Below are 18,713 nucleotides of genomic sequence, written 5' to 3' on the forward strand. Positions count from 1 at the left end.
GTTTTCCCCTTGGTCCTTTCCTCTAAAACCCTGCAAAGATGCACCACATTTAACCCACAAAAAGAATTTATTTTTGTTATAACTGAACATAATTCTTTCTTGAAGATATCTTTTGGACAAAATGTTCCATTGTGCGGGTCATGCCATATGGTGTGTAATGGGGTACGAGTTGCTGACAAAAAAGACGACAGGGCAGAGTGTGAGCTCCAGCCTGCCCCAAAGCTAAGCCCTGCATTTGCTGGAACATGAGAGCCTGGAGCTCTTAAATATGTAAGAGAGGTTGTCAAATCTACTTAACTGCTTATGAGCAATGAAGTCTCATCACTGCACTTGTGTTACTGACTCTGCAAAGGTGATTGTTGGCCATCATTTTGAATATCTTACTACTAAGATGTATTCAAAAGCACAAAAAAGAAATCTAAAACTGCCAATCTAGGACGTAGAAAATGTCCATGGAATTCCTTGAAAGATGCAAAAGCGAAATCCTTCTACATGATGTAAAATCAAAGTTGTTTTCTCCCTATCTCTGCCCAAAACCAATTAGATATCACGGAAATAAAATATATACACAAGCAAAGCCAAAATTTTAAGTCCACATCTGAAAACTGAAATGAGCTTTTCAAATCAGCTCAATTCTTCTGCAAGTGAGACTTCTCAGGAGCCCTAATGTCCCTTCATGTCCTGGCTTAAATTCGCATAAGCAAAACACCCTAAACCCTGGTTCTTCAAAATGAAAACCAAGACCCTATGAACGGCTCACAATTAAATTAACATTGAAAATCAGAGTAAAATAGGGAACTATATATATTTCCTGAACATAAATACACACACCTCCGTATCAGCTCACGAGCCAGCACCCTACCTTCTTACTTTCCAAGAAGCACTAGAAACTTTATTGCTAAAATCAGAAAAAATACAAGGATGTTTACTATCTCTGCTACTATTAACACTGTATTGTAGGCATTAACCAACATGATTAGACAATTAGAGGCATAAGATGGGAAAAGAAATAAAGTTATTTTAAGGTGATATGATTATATGTATGGAAAATCCCAAAGAATTCATGAAAAAACGATTACAAATAATAGGTGAATTTAGTAAAGCATTAGAATAAGACCAACATACAGAATTTAACAGGACATGTGTAGAAACAGAAGATAATGTATGAGCAGAGCCTATTTATAAGAGCAAACATAAAGGTTTTACAGATTTGAAAAAAACTATCAAAAGGAAAAAGCAAAGCAATTCCTTAAAATAGAAAATGAACTGAAACATGCAAACACAACTGTATTTCAAGTTAATGGCTTAACTACAGAGAAAACCGTTTTTTTCAAGTTACTTTAGAACATAATATTTTGACTGAGCTTTCCACGTGAGACCTAAGTCTCAGGACAAAAAGAACCACAAAGAAATCATACAAAAGAGATTCATGTAACATCATTAGGAATCAAGATTTTCTATGTTAGAGAAAAGAGCTGTAAATATAACAATTTTAAGGTTAAGTAAAAACTCTGAAATCTAGTTTGAATAAAAATATCACTGTGAACTCAATTTATTTTTGTCTTTAAAAAAATATGGACGTATCAGTTGTGTCACTGAAAAGACGTCAAGGTAATAAAACTCAGGCAATGAGCACTCAAATTGTAGTCTCAAAATACCACTTCCGGCTAAGTAATCAGCTCCATGGGAGGAAATACGAAAAGTCTTGTCAGGCCTAAAAGTGGATAAGTTCTCAATGATGCCAAATGACAGAGAAACTAACTGGAAGACACAGCCAATCACCAAATATGGTACAACTCATTATCCTGAAAATTGACATGAATGTAATTGCTAAGGAATAAAGTAATTACTCTTTTAAAGTAATAAGAAAAGAACCAAACAATTGTCCTGCTTTTTCCATACAGATTATATTCCAGGATAACCAAATAGTTGATGAAGCAACTCTCTTTTAGAGAGGTATCATAAACCGATAAAGAAAAAATCATAGATTAAAACACCACCATAATCCGGAACTTGTCTCCAGACTATGAAAGTACCCAGATGGCTCCCAAACCTGGCCCAGCTGGGAACTGCATGCAGCTGAGCCCACCATGCTCTTTAGTTTCTGTGCCCACCTGTGTGCGGAATTTATTCCTTCTGCTGGGTTGTTGGTCTCGCCGACTTTAAGAATAAAACCACGGACCTCGCGGTGAGTGTTACAGCTCTTAAAGATGGCGCGTCCGGAGTCGTCTGCTCCTCCCGGTGGGCTTGCGGTCTTGCTGACTTCAAGAACGAAGACGCAGACCGCGGCCGTGAGCTTTAAAGGTGGCGCGGACCCAGAGTAAGCAGTAAGCTTTATTAAGAAGCAGGAAAGAAAAAAACACAAACTCAAGCGGATAGCACCCCAGCGAGCTTCCCCAGCGGGCTCGGGGAGCCAGCTTTTATTCTCTTATTCAGCCCTGCCCATGTCCTGCTGATTGGTCCATTTTACAGAGTGCTGATTGGTCCATTTTACAGAGTGCTGATTGGTCCATTTTACAGAGTGCTGATTGGTCCATTTTTACAGAATGCTGACTGGTGCATTTACAATCCTCTAGCTAGACACAGAGCACCGATTGGTGCATTTACAATCCTCTAGCTAGACAGAAAAGTTCTCCAAGTCCCCACTGACCCAGAAGCCCAGCTGGCTTCACCTCTCACACCCAGGGGCCACTGCTGGAGGAGCAGCCCCAGCCCTTGTCCCCTCACCCTTCCCCCATGGAACCTGCTTTGGGAAAAACAAACTGGAACAATAAAAATGCCCCACATTCCAAATCAAGCCCTTGTCAAAGTCCCTTGCTTTCAGCCCAGGAAGTTTCTAGAAGCAGTCAAGCCACAGGACAGAGAAATATCTGGTGGCCCAGCTCTCCCTGGAGAATCCATCTCCCACCTCCAAAAGGAAGCACCCAGACCATGGAGGCCACAGCCCCAGGCCTGGCTTTCCTGGTAGGATAATATTTAGGGTTACCCTCTTTCTCCTGGGGCAGCTGGTCTAGCTCCGAGAAGGTTCTCTGATGGCTGTGCTGGCTCACGCTAAGCCCACCTGGAGTAGGCCAGTGGCTGGTGGCCACCTTCAGACCTGGGCTCACCCGGGGGGTTTGCACTGATGGACGCCCTGGCAGAGATCACAGAGGCAGGTTCTGTTAGACACATATGCACACATACACTCTTACACGTATGCTCACTTACATGCTTACACATACACTCATATGTACACACTGACACTTGTGCCCACCCACTCACACACACACACTCATACACACATATACACTCACACACACCACACATACACACATATACATTCACACACACATGCACACACACACCACATGTACACACACACGTATACATACACACACTAACATACACTCACATCCACACATACATTTACATACACTCATCCACACACACCCACGAACATACTCATACATGCACACCACACATGCACATTCTTACACACACGTACACTCACATAGACTCACATACCACACATGGACACACGTGCATACTCATACCACACATGCTCACATAAGGACACAAACTCACACATCAGATACACTCATAAACACGCACACTCACAAGCTCATACATGCATGCACTCATGCACACCACACACACACTCATACATATACACACTAACACATGCACACATACATATATACACTCTCACTACACATACGCATATAAACTCACAGTTATGCACACACTCATACACATATACATTCACACTCACACTACACATACACATATACACTTACACTTATACACACACGCACAGCACATATGCACACACATACACATAACAAACACACTACACAGACACGCACCACTCGCAAACATTCCCACTTATGCATTCACATGCATGGCACATACACAAACATGCACACACATCACACACACTCGTATACACATGCACACACACACTCTTACATACATACACACGTACACACCGCACTCCCATACATGCACCCTCACATATACTCCCCCTTCCTTCTGTTTCCATGATGTCTGCTGTCTCCAAGGCTTTCTGTTTTTGAGTCCCCTGCTACAATTAAAATACTCCTGAGAGCAATTAAGCTTTGGCAGCTAATAACTTAATTACCCACTAATACCGTATCTTCCCATCACCCTCGCCAAGCAGGAGCAGTGAGGTATGAGACGGATTCACTCATTGGAGGCAGACCGTGGGAAGATCCAGGATCCTAGAGTTTGGCGGGAAGCTCAAGAGACCCATGCTGGAGCCAGAGGCCCATGGGCCTCCTTGAGTCCTGGGGCCGAATCCTTCGTTCTGTGCACCTACTACAGAGCAGTGTCCTTAACCAGGGCTTAAAATTATCTACCAACATGAAGAGTGACCTACAAAAGAAACTGACCTGATCAACCCCTAGTTCACAATTGGGTAGAGCGAGACAGAGAGGCTGAGTGGCTTCCCAGGGTCACACAGCTTCTCTTGCAGGCCAGTGCCTTCTTGATGCCAGACCAGGGGTCCTGGGATGGGTGGTGGCAAGACCCTCACACCAGCCTCCCTGAACTCACTCCCCACTCCACCCTAACACTAGCATGGCAGCACAGAACTTCCCAGAGACGTTACAGAACAGCAGAGATTGGAAGTCCAGTGTTGGCCCCCAGTCTGGATAATTCAAGCAAATGTTTGAAGGGAGGATGTCCTGAATTTGCCATAAGCTGTATTTCTCCCAGGACGACTGAGAAGCAGTATCTGTAGATGGGGGAACATGAGCTCTGTACCCCTCTCTGTTGCCAAGTTCATCCATTTCATGGCAATGGTTTCCTTCCATTTTTGTGACATGCTTGGATGGCCCAAGACTCCACTGGTCATTTAATTTCCCTTCCCAGCCCCCAAATATATATCCTGAATTCCACATATGCTATGGAGTGAATTGTGTCCCTCCTCCAAATCCTTACGTTGAAGCCCTCAACCCCAATGTGACTATATCTGAAGATAGGGGTTTGGGGAGGTCATTTTAAATGAGGTTTTAAGGGTGAAACCCTAATCCAATTGGACTGTGGCTTTATAAGAGGAAGAGAGGGATCTCTATCTCTGCCATGTGAGGACACAGCAAGAAGGCAGCTGTCTGCAAGCCAGGAAAGGAGTCCTCCCTAGAACCTGACCATGCTGGCACTTTGACCTTGGACTTCCAGCCTCCATAGCTGTGAGAAAATAACAGCTGTTAAGGTATAGTTTAAGCTCCCCACCCGCTAGTCTATGGTATTTTGTTATGGCAGCCTGAGCAGACTACTACAAGGTACCTAGATCTTTCTCCCTGTGGGAGCACCTGGGTCTAATTCATACCATTGTGTCATCCACTCCAGATGCACCTGTATTTTCTCCTTCTTATAAAACGGGGCATGCCAGCTCAAATGCCTACAGGGACCAGCAGTCATGCCAAGAGGCAAAGACCACGAGGAAGTGGCTCCCTTTGTGCAAGGCGGTAGCCACGACTCATCACCCATCCATTGTTGCTATGAGTGAGTATGGCCCGGCATTGCCAGATGTCATGATTTAAAGAGGAGCTGGAAATCCAGATTGTTAATAAATCAGCTGATTTTTTAAATGCTGGCAACAACTTCTAAGTTTCAAAACACTTTGGGAGAAAACCAACACACAAGTAACACAAGAAGAAATAACAAACACACAAGTAAACAAGAAGAAACAACAACAAACCTGTTTGTGGGCTGAACCAGGCCTGTGAGCCACCAACTCACAATCTCAGTTTCGTCGATCCTCCTGGGAAAATGCTGGAAGCCTGAGCGGTGACTAAGACAGCAGGGTCCCAGGCAGTGGGGCAGAGGCCCGTGAGGGTACGGGGGGCGCGGGGGGCATAGAACTGCGCTACTGGACGGTGACACCGCCTGCAGGTACCACCACGCTCCTTCACCTAGGGCTTCCTTTGGCCAGTGCCCACCCAGGTGCCTGAGTCTGATCTGTTCCCAGGGACCAGGATCCCACATCTAGAGGCAGGACAAAAACAAACAGCCCCAGCCCTGGGCTCCATTTCTTTTAAGGTTGTGGGTCTGCTTCTGAAGCTGATCACCAATGCTTGTACCGTTCCCTTCGCCCTACCCTTGACATTTTCCAGTCTCCACCTGTGATGTTGAGGTGGGAGGCAGGACTTGACTCCAGACCAGACTGAAGACTGGCTAAAATAGGGAAGAGGCCCTGGAAGCACCTCTCCGTGAGACACACCCACCAGTGCCATGACAGTTTACCATTGCCATGGCAACACCCAGAAGTTACCACCCCTCTTCTAACAATTTCTGAATAGCCTGCTCCTTAATTTGCATATAATTAGAAGTGGGTATAAATATGACTGCAGCACTGCCCCTGAGCTGCTGCTCTCCACACACTGCCTATGGAGTACCCCTGCTCTGCAGGAGTAGTCACAGAGCTGTAATGCTGCTACCTCAATAAAGCTGTTTTCTTCTGCCACTGGCTCAGCCTTAAATTGTTTCCTGAGTGAAGCCGGGAACCCGGCTGGGCACGGTGGCTCACGCTGTAATCCCAGCGCTTTGCGAGGCTGAGACAGGTAGATCCACCTAATGTCAGGTGTTCAAGACCAGCCTGGCCAACATGGTGAAACCCTGTCTCTACTAAAAATTCAAAACTTAGCTGAGCATGGTGGTGTGTGCCTGTAATCCCAGCTACTCAAGAGACTGAGGCAAGAGAATCACTTGAACCTGGGAGGCGGAGGTTGCAGTGAGCCGAGATCGCGTCACTGCACTCCAGCCTGGGCGGCAAAGTGAGACTCTGTCTCAAAAAAAAAAAAAAAAAAAAAAAAAAACAAATAACAAAAAGAACCTTCCCGGGCTTCATCCCGATTTGGGGACCCACCTCTCCTGCATTAATGTCAGCATCTATCAGCCGAGGGTTGAGCTGGGGTGGGCTGGGCTGAGCTGGGCTGGGCTAGGCCAGGAGGCAGAGAAGTGCAGGGCACAAAGAGGCCACAGAGAGCTGAGACCAAGTCTTTGGTCCAGGGCAAGTCAGTGGGGAAAGGTGTGCTTTGCCAAGGCATGCTTCAGGTCTCCAGGTCAGCTGCCAGATGGAAGCTCAGCTTCCCCGGGATTCCCATAGAGCCTGAGTCTTCATCCAGGCCCAGAAACCTGGAGATATGCTCAGTGAGTACAGGCGGAGGGCGGTCCCAGCCGTGATCTGGAGGCCAAGGATAATAAGACAACAAGCGTTTGAGAAGCACCACTGCTGTTTGGTGCCCTCGCCTCCCGAGGGAGGACATGAGTGAGATGCCCCGTGCAATGGGATTGGCAGAGACCTTGGGCAGACCCCTGCGGTCTCTGGCCATCAGCCTGCCAAAAACATCCTGCCTCCCCCACTCCACCTTTCCATCCCAAATGACACAAAGATTAAGCACCAGCCAACAAAATCAGGTTGCAGGAACCACAACCAGTTTGTGTGGATTTGCCTGAGCCAGGGTGGGAGGAAGTAAATGAGAACCTAAACCAAAGGTGACAAAGAAATCAGTTGCAAGCCTGGGGTGGCTTTCTACTTCTGTCCCCGCTACCGTGGGCACTTGCCACATAGTTCTTGGTTACCAGCCAGCATGCTTTACCAGCACTGGTTCCTAAGTGACTATTTAATCATGCATTGTGTGTTTGAATGTATTCATTATATTTTAATATGATTATGTTCAATCCAATAGACTGAAACTGATTTGTCCAGATGTATAATTATTTTCTAAATGCTTATAATTCTTGGCGGCAGAGTTGGCAGAGGTTTTGAGAAAGAAGAGGAGTCCATTAGCTCTTCATGTTCATTAGTCATGGTTGTGGGAGCCTCATCAGTGGGTTTGAGGTAATCGGTGCCATGCTACCCTGGGACACCCTGGCCTTAAACATGATCACAGAGACCTTGTGTTTTGAGCCCCATGCAGGGAATCACTGGGTCTCTAAGTTTCATCTGGAGCTCCTCCCTCTGCTGAGCTGTTTTTCCCTGTTCCTCTTTTTGTTTGTTTGTTTTAAGGGTTTTAAAATGTCCAACTTTAATTTAGATTCAGAAGGTACATGTGCCGGTTGGTTAAATGGATATATCGTGTGATGCTGAGGTTTAGGGTAAAAACATTCCCATCATCCAGGTAGCAAGCATAGTACCCAATAGGTAGTGTTTCAACCTTTGCCCCCCTCCCCCTCTTCCCTCTCTAGTAGCCCCCAGTGTCTGTTCTTCCCATCTTGATGTCCACATGTACCCAATGTTTCTTTCCCACTTACAAGTGAGAACATGCAGTATTTGGTTTTCTGTTCCTGCATTAATCTGCTTAGGATAATGGCCTCCAGCTGCATCTATGTTGTTGTAAAGGACATGATCTCATTCTTTTTCATGACTGTGTAGTATTCCATGGTGTATATGGACCACATTTTCTTTATCCAATCCACGAATGATGGGCACCTACGTCGATTCCATGTCTTTGCTCTTGTGAATAATGCTGCAATGAACATACAAGTGCAGGTGTCTTTTTGGTAGAACAAATTATTTTCCTTTGGGTTTGGGAAGGGGCTCTGCCCAGGGTGACTGTCGCACTGCACCCTCCAGGGCTCTGGAAGACAGTAGTCCCCAGATTTACCACAGTATCCCCAGTACCTCAGCCATATATTCACCACTTCTGGACAATCGCCCTCTGTAGCTTCCCCGCCCCGGCTCACATAGGGCTCCTGGAGTTTACCAGAGCTTTCCACAGAGATTCTTAGTCTTTTGCTCAGCCCCATCTGGATGGGTCTCCCTGTAGTTCAAGCTCTTATGTCACTGGGTGATGTGGCTTGCACCTATAACCCCAGCCCTTCAGAGGGCAAGGTGGGAGGATTGCTTGAGGCCAGGAGTTTGAGGCCAGCCTGAGCAACATGGCGAGACCCCGTCTCTACCAAAAAATCTTTTTAAAAATTAGCCAGGCATGGTGATGCATGCCTGTTATCCCAGCTACTTGGGACACTGTGCCGGGAGGATTGCTTGAGCCCAGGAGGTTGAGGCTACAGTGAACTATGATCATGCCACTGCACTCCAGCCTGGGTGACAAAGCAAGACTCCAAGTAATCCCTTTGTTTTTTGGTTTGGCGGACCTCTACCCATTGAAAAGCCTAGAAGTAGATTCCCAGAAACACCAAGCAGCCAAGAAGATGGATGCCCATCCCAGTGGGTGCAAAGTTGAGCTGGACAACACACGAATGCCCTGCTGACGACGCCCTGCCGCTGCTCAAAGCATCACAGTTCTCACCCTACTGCTCCAAAATTCCGTGTTGCACATGATAATTGTGCAAATGGTCTAAAATGGATTGTGATCACCACAACCCATTTTAGACCATTTTCATCATTCCCAAAAGGAACCTCATATCCACTGGCACAGTCACTCCCTAGTCCTTCTTTGGGAAGGAAGATTCCTCAGGTCTTCCTTCTTTGATAACCCATGGAATCTTGGGGCAGGGCATTTGGCTGCCGTATTTTCCTCAGGATTCATGTCTGGATTGGCTCAGGTAATCCCCTAAGGCTGGGTTTGGGAGGCACTGATTTGCCTTTCTTGGCTTTGACTGCATGAATACGGGTGTCCCAGAAACCCCACTTCTCCCAGTTGGCCTTAGAGTCATCCTGATATAGAATGGCTGGGCTCCTGACTAAACCCCACCCTCAAGCTTGGAGCCTCGGCCCTAAGTGGAAACAGCTGGCCCAATTTTTCTGCCCAAATGATTGCCTTATTGGCCTGCCATACCCCTATCCTGTGCTCATAAAAAGAGAAAAGAGCAACACAAGTGGCTGACCGGCAAGGATACAAGTGGCTGAGCAGTGAGCAGAGAAGCAAAAACTGAGCGTTGGAGACTACAGGTACATGCAGCTAACTTCAGATGTGTGGTTTTGGAGGGGAGCCCAGCCAGACATGGCTGAGCTTCAGGGAAAAGATCACCTTCTCCCCACACCATCCCCTTTCCAGCTCCCTCTCCACCAAGAGCCACTTCCACTGCTCAATAAAGTCTTCTGCATTCATCACCTTTCACACAGTTCATGTGACCTGATTCTTCCTGGACACTGAACAAGAACTCGGGTGTCAAAAAGGACAGGTGCAGAAGACTGTCACCCTGACCCTTCACGGAGCCGTTAACACTTAGCTGTCCACAGTCTGCAGGCTGAGTGAAATGAGCCACTTCAGTTCCTGCCCACGAAGGGGCAAGTTAGATGCTCACATTAACCCTAACCCTAACTCCCACCCTAACATTCACCCTTGGGTTGTATGAAGACATGACTAGAAAGAAACTTGGGAAAAGAAGGACAGAGGTAGCCAGACTCATAAGATTGAGGCACGATCTAAAGTGGTCCATCCTGCCTTGGCTGGAGCCCAGCATGAAATAACTACATGACCTGGCTCTAAACCCCACAGGCAACACTTCCTCTTGCAACCCCAAACAGGGGCAGATTTTGCTGAGTAGATGCTGGCTGGGAGGCTTCACTCACTTCAGAGTGAAATCTGAATCTAGGGCTCCCCTTAAGGAGGGAAGCAGGGCTACACCGAGAGGGAGAGGAGCTGGCATTCACCTGGGCACCTGTTTCAGGTCATGAGAAATCACCTTTTTAAAAAATTCCCCCAAAGGCAACAGTGCCTCTGCAGAAGACAGGTTTACCAGGCCTGCTCCAGGCTGATCTGGATGCATCTTTTTTTTTTTTTTTTTTTTGAGACGGAGCCTCGCTCTGTCGCCCAGGCTGGAGTGCAGTGGTGAGATCTCAGCTCACTGCAAGCTCCGCCTCCCGGGTTCACGCCATTCTCCTCCCTCAGTCGAGTAGCTGGGACTACAGGAGCCCGCCACTACGCCCGGCTAATTTTTTGTATTTTTAGTAGAGACAGGGTTTCACTATGTTAGCCAGGATGGTCTCGATCTCCTAGTGATCCACCCGCCTCAGCCTCCCGAAGTGCTGGGATTACAGGCATGAGCCACCACGCCTGGCCGGGATGCATCTTAAACATGCATCTGCAAGGGCCTTTTTCATATAATAACTTCTTTCCTTTTGGGTAAATACCCAAATTTCCCAATTTCCAGGGAGTTCTGGGTCTAGAAACCCGGGCAGGTTCTTACTGCACTTTCCTTTGCGTCCAGTGCGTTTTTAGAGTGAGCATTGTCTGGGAACTTTCCAGAGATCAGATTCCTTTCTTAAAAAAATGGTAATTTATTTCAATAGTTTTTAGGGTACAGGTGGTTTTTGGTTATATGGATGAGTTCTTTAGCAGTGATTTTTGAGATTTAGTGCACCCATCACATACTGTACCCAAGATGTTGTCTTTTATCCATCACTCCACTCCCAACCTCTCCCCACCCTGAGTCCCCACAGTCCATTAGATCGCTCTGTATGTTTTTCTATCCTCACAGCTTAGCTATGAGTGAAATAACTCAGGAATGGAAAACCGAAAGAATAATTCTTATTCTTCATCCTTAACGTAAATCCTCACCTTTTCCGAATTGTTTTTCTCTCTCTTCATCAACCTTTCTGCTTTTAACATCTTATCTTCTTGGCTTTATCTTTTACATGAACTCTCATGGTGTCATTTTGTCTTTATTTTATCTTATAACAGTCATCATATTTCAGATGATAAGATTTCATTTTATCCTACTTTTTTTTTTTTTTTTTTTTTTTTTTTTAGACTAAGTCTTGCTCTGTCAGCCAGGCTGGTGTGCAGTGGCACAATCTCAGCTCACTCACTACAACCTCCGCCTCACAGGTTCAAGTGGTTCTCCCGCCTCAGCCTCCCAAGTAGCTGGGACTACAGGCACATGCCACCACACCCAGCTAATTTTTTTGTAATTTTTAGTAGAGACAGGGTTTCACCATGTTGGCCAGGCTGGTCTCGATCTCCTGACCTCATGATCTGCCAGCCTCAGTCTCCCAATATCCCACTTATTAATGAGAATATATGGCATTTGGTTTTCCATTCCTGAGTTACTTCACTTAGGATAATGGCCTCCAGTTCCATCCAACTTGCTGCAAAAGACATTATTTCATTCCTTTTCACAGCTGAGTAGTATTCCATGGTGTATATATACCACATTTTCTTTATCCACTTGTGGATCGACCCGCACTTAGGCTGGTTCCACGTCTTGCAATTGTGAATTGTGCTGCTATAAACATACATCTGCAAGTGTCTTTTTCATATAATGACTTCTTTTCTTTTGAGTAAATAGCCAGTAGTGGGATTACTGGATCAAATGGCAAATCTACTTTTAGTTCTTTAAGGAATCTCCATACTGTTTTCCATAGTGGCCGTACTACTAGTTTACATTCCCGCCAGCAGTGTAGAAGTGTTTCATTTTCACCACATCAATGCCAACGTCTATTGTTTTTTGACTTTTTAATTTTGACCATTCTCGCAGGAGTAAGAAAACCATATTGTGGTTTTGATTTGCATTTCCCCGGTGATTAGTGATGTTGAGATTTTTGAGTAACCACAAGCCCCCCTGGCTGTTTATTTTGATGAAGTCTTTTCAAGGTAGCAGCAGCAGCTGATAAAGTTGCAGGGTCCCCAGCATCTTTTAATTCTTCTTGCTGAGTGACACCATCCTCTGCAGAGGGGAGGCTTAGTTTAGGATACTCTAAGAACCAGTTACAAAGTCACTTCCCTCGTCCTCCGCAAGTGCTTCCAGCTGACTTCTTAAAATATTCCCTCCCAGTGAGATTCCATTTATATAAATTGTCATTTACCTGTTTCATTCTTATTCTTCATCCTTCATGTAAATCCTCACCTTTTCCTAATTGTTTCTCTCTCTTTGTCAACCTTTCTGTTTTAACATCTTATCTTCTTGGCTTTATCTCTTACATGAACTCTCATGGTGTCATTTTGTCTTTATCTTATCAGATTCATCTTATTTCAGATTAAAAGATTTCATTTTGGCTGAGCGCATCGGCTCACGCCTGTAATCCCAGCACTTTGGGAGGCTGAGGCAGGCAGATCACTTGAGGTCAGCAGTTTGAGACCAGCCTGGCCAACACGGCGAAACCTCATCTCTGATAAAAATACAAAAATTAGCCAGGCGTGGTCCCAGCTACTCAGGGGCTAAGACATGAGAATCGCTTGAACCCGGGAGATGGAGGTTGCAGTGAGCTGAGATCACGCCACACTCTAGCCTGGGCAACAGAATGAGACTCCATCTCAAAAAAAAAAAAAAGAAAAAGAAAATATTTCATTTTATCTTATCATTTCATCTTATCAATTTCACCTAATCTTAATTTTTACTGGATGGAATTATTCAGAACTTGTACTATTGTATTTTTCTTTTGTCTTTATTCCTTCTGATTTTTCTTTCAAGTTTTAATTTTCCTACTTTCTACAAGTCCTATATCACTGGACAAATGTGCTTCTTTTATTTCCCTTATTTCCTCTTTCCTTTTTCATTTTACTTTTCTGAGTAGCATAGAAAGCCTAGCCCCAGGGCAGGGACCAGCAGAGGGGCAGGGCAGGAGGTTTTCCTCCTTCACAGCTGTCCTTAAAGCTGTCTCTCCTCCAAACAGACCTCCAGACCATCCAAGGCTGGCTTTCCAGATAACCTCACCCCCAGGAGACCCAGAGATACCAGCCCTGGGACACAGCAGTAATAATAACCTTGCTACTTGTAACACACTTGCTCTAAGAAAAGGGTCTGGCATCTGATGCCCCACACCACCTGGGCGAATTCAAAGAAGATAATCCAGCCTCTCTGGAAAATACATGCATCTGGCCAGGCACAGTGGCTCACACCTGTAATCCCAGCCACTTGGGAGGCTAAGGAGGAAGGATGGCTTGAGCCCAGGAGGTGGAGGCTGCAGTGAGCTGTGATCATGCCACTGCACTCCAGCCTGGGTGACAGAGCAAGACCTTGTCTCAAAAAAAAAAGAGAGAGAGACAAAGAAATAAAGAAAAAAGAAAAGAAAGAAGGAAGGGAGGGAGGAAAGGGGAGAAGGAAGGAAGGGAGGGAGGGAGACAGAAAGAGAAAAAGAAAGAAGAGAAAGAAAGAAAGAAGGGAGGGAGGGAGGGAGGGAGGGAGGGAGGAAGGAAGGAAGGAAAAGAAGGAAGGAAGGAGGGAGGGAGGAGGGGAAGGAAGGAAGGAAAAGAAAGAAAGAAAATACATGCACCTGAATTTGTACCTTACTGCCAGCTTGGGTTAGGGACCCAGGCTTCCTATCCCTTAGCAGGAGCCAGAGAGCACTGAAGAGCCCCCTGGGAAAGGCAACAGGGAGAGGCCAACCCTGCCCTCAGTCTCAGGTGTCCAGTTCTCAATGGAGCCCCCTTGTTTTGTTGGGTAGGAAGATTCTTCCCCCAGGCAGCCCTCCAGGTTTCCTTCCTCCATCAGCAAGTTATGAGGACTTCCAGTTACTTACAATACAGTCCTAAGGCAGAGGACCCACTTGAGTTGAGTCATAACATCTGGGGCTTTTACATTTTAAAATTTTAAAGTTTAAACTTTCTAGAACTGGGGACTAAAATGTGTAGTGCCCTAACCTAATGGCACTTTTGGATTGTAAAAATGAATTTTAGGCACACTAAACCCACCCAGCATTTCAAGACCATCTCATACCCCAAACCATGTGCCTTGCAAAAATATGAATCTGGTATAAAACAAGATTGTTTATTTCCATCCTTTTAATTCTGTCTCTTAATTTATTTTATTTTATTTTTTTTTAGAGAACGTGTCTCACTGTATCACCCAAGCTGGAATGCAGTGGCGTGATCATAGCTCACTGCAGCCTCAAACTTCTGACCTCGGGAGATCCTTCAACCTTAGCCTCCCCAGTAGCTGGGACTACAGATGCATGCCACCACTCCCATATAATTTTTTTATTTTTTGTAGGGATGGGATTTTGCTATGTTGACCAGACTGGTCTTAAGCCCCTAGCCTCAAAAGATTCTCTTGCCTCAACCTCCTGAGTAGCTTCCTTCTTTATTTTCTACCTTGGTAAGTTGGGGCCCATCCTAGATGAATGGCAAGATTCACAGGACTCACTCAAGCGGGTGTAAGGCTGGGCCCATCTCTAAGGTTTCTCTCCTGAGCCTGAGGATGCTACACAGTGATACAATCAATCCACAGGCTCTAGGACTCATTGACATGATTTCCACCATTGGCATCCATGTTGCTAAAGGACCTAAGGACCTCAGAGAGGGGTAGGGTTTGTTTTTGCAGGGCTGGGGGGTTGTTTTTTTGAGACAGAGTCTCACTCTGTTGCCCAGGCTGGAGTGCAATGGCACAATCTCGGCTCACTGCAACCTCCACCTTCCTGGTTCAAGTGATTCTCCTGCCTCAGCCTCCTAAGTACCTAGGATTACAGGCACGTGCCACCACACCCAGCTAATTTTTGTACTTTTAGTAGAGACAAGGTTTCACCATGTTGGCCAGGCTGGTCTCAAACTCCTGACCTCAAGTGATCCACCCACCTCAGCCTCCCAAAGTGCAGGGATTACAGGCATGAGCCACCACGCTCGGCCTCCTGCCCAGTTACTACCGGGGGCCCTCCATCCCCATGTGCCCATGGCTGAGACCACGCTCCCAATAAGTGCCATGCCTCATTACTCATGAGTTCCAGCACAGCTTCAGTCCATCCACGACTGTGAATTTATTCCCATCCTGATGGGTTGGCCATTCTTAATTATGGAAAATAGTATACCTCATCGTTACTATTGCAGCTAATGTTGATTGACAGCTCCTTAGTACCACATTCTGTTGAGCATGCAACAGGCCATTCACAGATTACCATCTCATCTGAGTCTCACAGCCATCCTGTGAAGTATGAGGTGTTTGTATTCCTGCTAATAGATGACGTTAAGGGGGCTATAAAGCTTGCAGAATTTGACTTTGCAGATTCTTAAGATTGCAGATTTGAATCCAGGCCTCTCTGCACACAGAGTCCCACGTCTAAGCTGCCACTCTGTCCCTTAGGGAGATGGCTACCTGTCGGCTTTGGGAAAGAGATTCCAATAATTACAATCAAACTCCTCCTCATCCCAGGGTGCCCTCGGAGGGAGCCGAAGACATAAGGAACCACAGCTAAGAGGAAGCCAAATGCCTCAGGGCGAAGGTAAGCTGCTGCCTCTGATTGGGAGGCATCTCTGATGGGGTGTGCTGGCACCTAGGCTTAGGCCAGGAAACCAGGAGGGATTTCTGCCATTGTCTTCCGGAAAGTGAAGAATGCATTGTCCAGACTTGAATCCACTTACCCCAGGGACTGTGTGGATGAGCCTCACCTGGATGAAGGGCCAGAAGAAGGTGAGGGGCCCAGGCCCAGCCCAGCCCAAGGCGGCTGGCCCATCTAATGCCTGCAAGTGCTCTACTGATATGGTTTGGCTCTGTGTCTCCATCCAAATCTCATCTTGAATTTTAATCCTTAGGTGTTGAGGGAGAGACCAGGTAAGAGGTGATTGGATCATGGGGGAGTTTCTCCCATGCTGTTCTCATGATCATGAGTGAGTTCTCACAAGATCTGATGGTTTTATAAGTATTTAGAAGTTCTTCCTTTGTTCACTCTTCTTCCTGCTGCCATGTGAAGGACACGTTTGCTTCCCCTTCCGCCATGAGTGTAAGTTTCCTGAGGCCTTCTCAGCTATGTGGAACTGTGAGTCAATTCAACCTCTTTCCTTTATAAATTACACAGTCTCAGGCATTATCTTTAAACCAGTGTGAAAATGAACTAATACATCTACTATAGCTGAAAAACTACGAGCCTGACTATCCCAGGCCAGGCACCACGAAACTGATAGACAGAGCCAGGCAGGGCTGTTCTGCTGTAACCACTGGGCTGTATTTATCCCCCTGAGGAGTGGTCTCTTAGGAAGCACTTCTATCAACCTCACTTGAGTCTTTGGTTCTGGGGACAGTGACCAGCTATGGCTTGCATTGACCACTCATGTTTGCTGTTCATACAGACTCAACAACGTGTGGCGATGCTCATTGCCCATGGTGGGCCTGTCTGAGTGGTGGCATTCTTACCCAAGCCCCTGTCTTCCCCCTCCCACAGGAGCCCCCCATTGGCCTTCCTGCCTATTGTCTGCAGAATCAGAGCAATCTTTATTTTTAAAGTGATGAGATCTCACTCTGTCACCCAGGCTAGAGCGCAGTTGTGTGATCATGGCTCACTGCAGCCTCAACTTTCTGGGATCAAGTGATCCTCTCACCTCAGCCTCCCAAGTAGCTGGGATGGTAAGCACATATCACCATGCCTGACTAATTTTAAAAAATTATTTGTAGAGATGGGGCTTTGCCAGGCTGGTCTCAAACTCCTGACCTCAAGCCACCCTCCCACCTTGGCCTCCCAAAGTGCTGGGATTACAGGTGTGAGCCACCTCACCCAGCCACTACCCTGCCCTTTGAGAACCAAAAGAAGAAACCAAATTTTCCTTAGCTCAACTAGGGCCATTTCCCCAATTGTTTCATCAGCAAGGAGCTGGTTATTGGGCTGTCCAGACCTCTCAAGCAGCACAGAAATGAGATGAGGGCATTTTCCTGCTGCTCCACTCTGTGCAGAGTTGGAGAATGACATTTACTCTTTGCAGAGAAAGATACTCTGTAGGCACCTTAGGATGAAGGGGACCTGATTCCAATGTCCTTTTGTTTTCTTCTTTAGAAACAGGGTCTTGCTCTGTCATCCAGGCTGAAGTACAGTGGCACAAACATCACTCCTGAGTAGCTGGGATTACAGGTGCATGCCACCACACATGGCAATTTATTTTTATTTTTATTTTTATTTTTATTTTTATTTTTTTGTAGAGACAGAGTCTTGAACTCCTGGCCTCAAACAATCTTCCCACCTTGGCCTCCTGACGTGCTGGGGTTACAGGTAGGAGCCACGGTGCTGGGCTGCAGAGTGATCTTTTAAATGAGCAAAAACAGATCACATCACTGTCTTGCTTAAAGTTCTCTCAGTGGTAGATCATTTTATGTAGAATAAAATCTCAATGACTGTTGCGTGGTCCAGCTGCCTTCCTTCTCTCTTGTCCTCACTGCCTAACCCCTGCCTCTCCAGCAGCCTAGCTCCTTCTTGCCTGAACATTTTTACACCTGATATTCCGTCCAGGGTGCTCCTGCCCCACCACGCAAATGCAGCTTTCCCATGTCATCCCAGCCTCAGCTCAATGTCCCTTCTGTGTTCATTTGAAGTGACCCTCCACAGACACAGTCGAGACACTCCCTGCCATGCTGTTTTCCATCATAGCATTGATCACTGTGAGGAATGATCATATATCTGTTCACTTACTTACTTGCTAAGTTTTAGAGTTCTTCTCATAATCACAGAGTAGCTCATATTTGACCAGCTCTCCTACAAATAGTAATCATAAATTCTGGACAATATACAAAAGAGAATGCTCAAAAGGCACTGGCAAGTGGCCCAAAGCAGGAAGAAACTGAAAGGGAGGCGATTTTTGGAAGTGAGAAAGGCACAGATTGATTTTTTTTTTGTTTTTATTTTATTTTATTATTTTTTTTTTTTGAGACACAGTCTTGCTCTGTGGTCCAGGCTGGAGTGCAGTGGCCTGATCTCAGCTCACTGCAGCCTCAACATCCTGGGCTCAAGTGATCCTCCTGCCTCAGCCTCCCAAGCTGCTGGAACTACAGAAGCATGCCATCACGTCCAGCTAATTTTTGTATTTTTTGTAGAGACAGGGTATCACCATGTTGCCCAGGCTGGTCTCAGTCAGCACTGCTGCTGGCGTGAGGCCAGAAACCTGAAGTCTTAC

General features: G+C 46.1%; 1 protein-coding gene across 8 annotated transcripts in view; it reads right to left on the bottom strand.

Annotated features, from left to right (window-relative positions):
- The window catches only part of CALN1 (calneuron 1), a 724,789-nt gene that overhangs the window by 630,453 nt on the left and 75,623 nt on the right, over positions 1–18,713 (bottom strand). For 2 of the 8 annotated variants that reach the window (NM_031468.4, XM_047420911.1), the window contains exon 1: positions 2,115–2,395. The exons of 5 other annotated variants lie outside the window; for them this stretch is intronic. The gene's annotated coding sequence lies outside the window, so the exon portion shown is untranslated. Of the gene's footprint in view, positions 1–2,114; positions 2,396–18,713 lie in introns of those variants that run through there. One more of the 8 variants, XM_017012678.2, reaches the window with a different exon arrangement.

This window comes from Homo sapiens, chromosome 7 (genome assembly GCF_000001405.40).
Source record: "Homo sapiens chromosome 7, GRCh38.p14 Primary Assembly".
In the NCBI taxonomy this organism is placed as follows: Eukaryota; Metazoa; Chordata; class Mammalia; order Primates; family Hominidae; genus Homo; species Homo sapiens.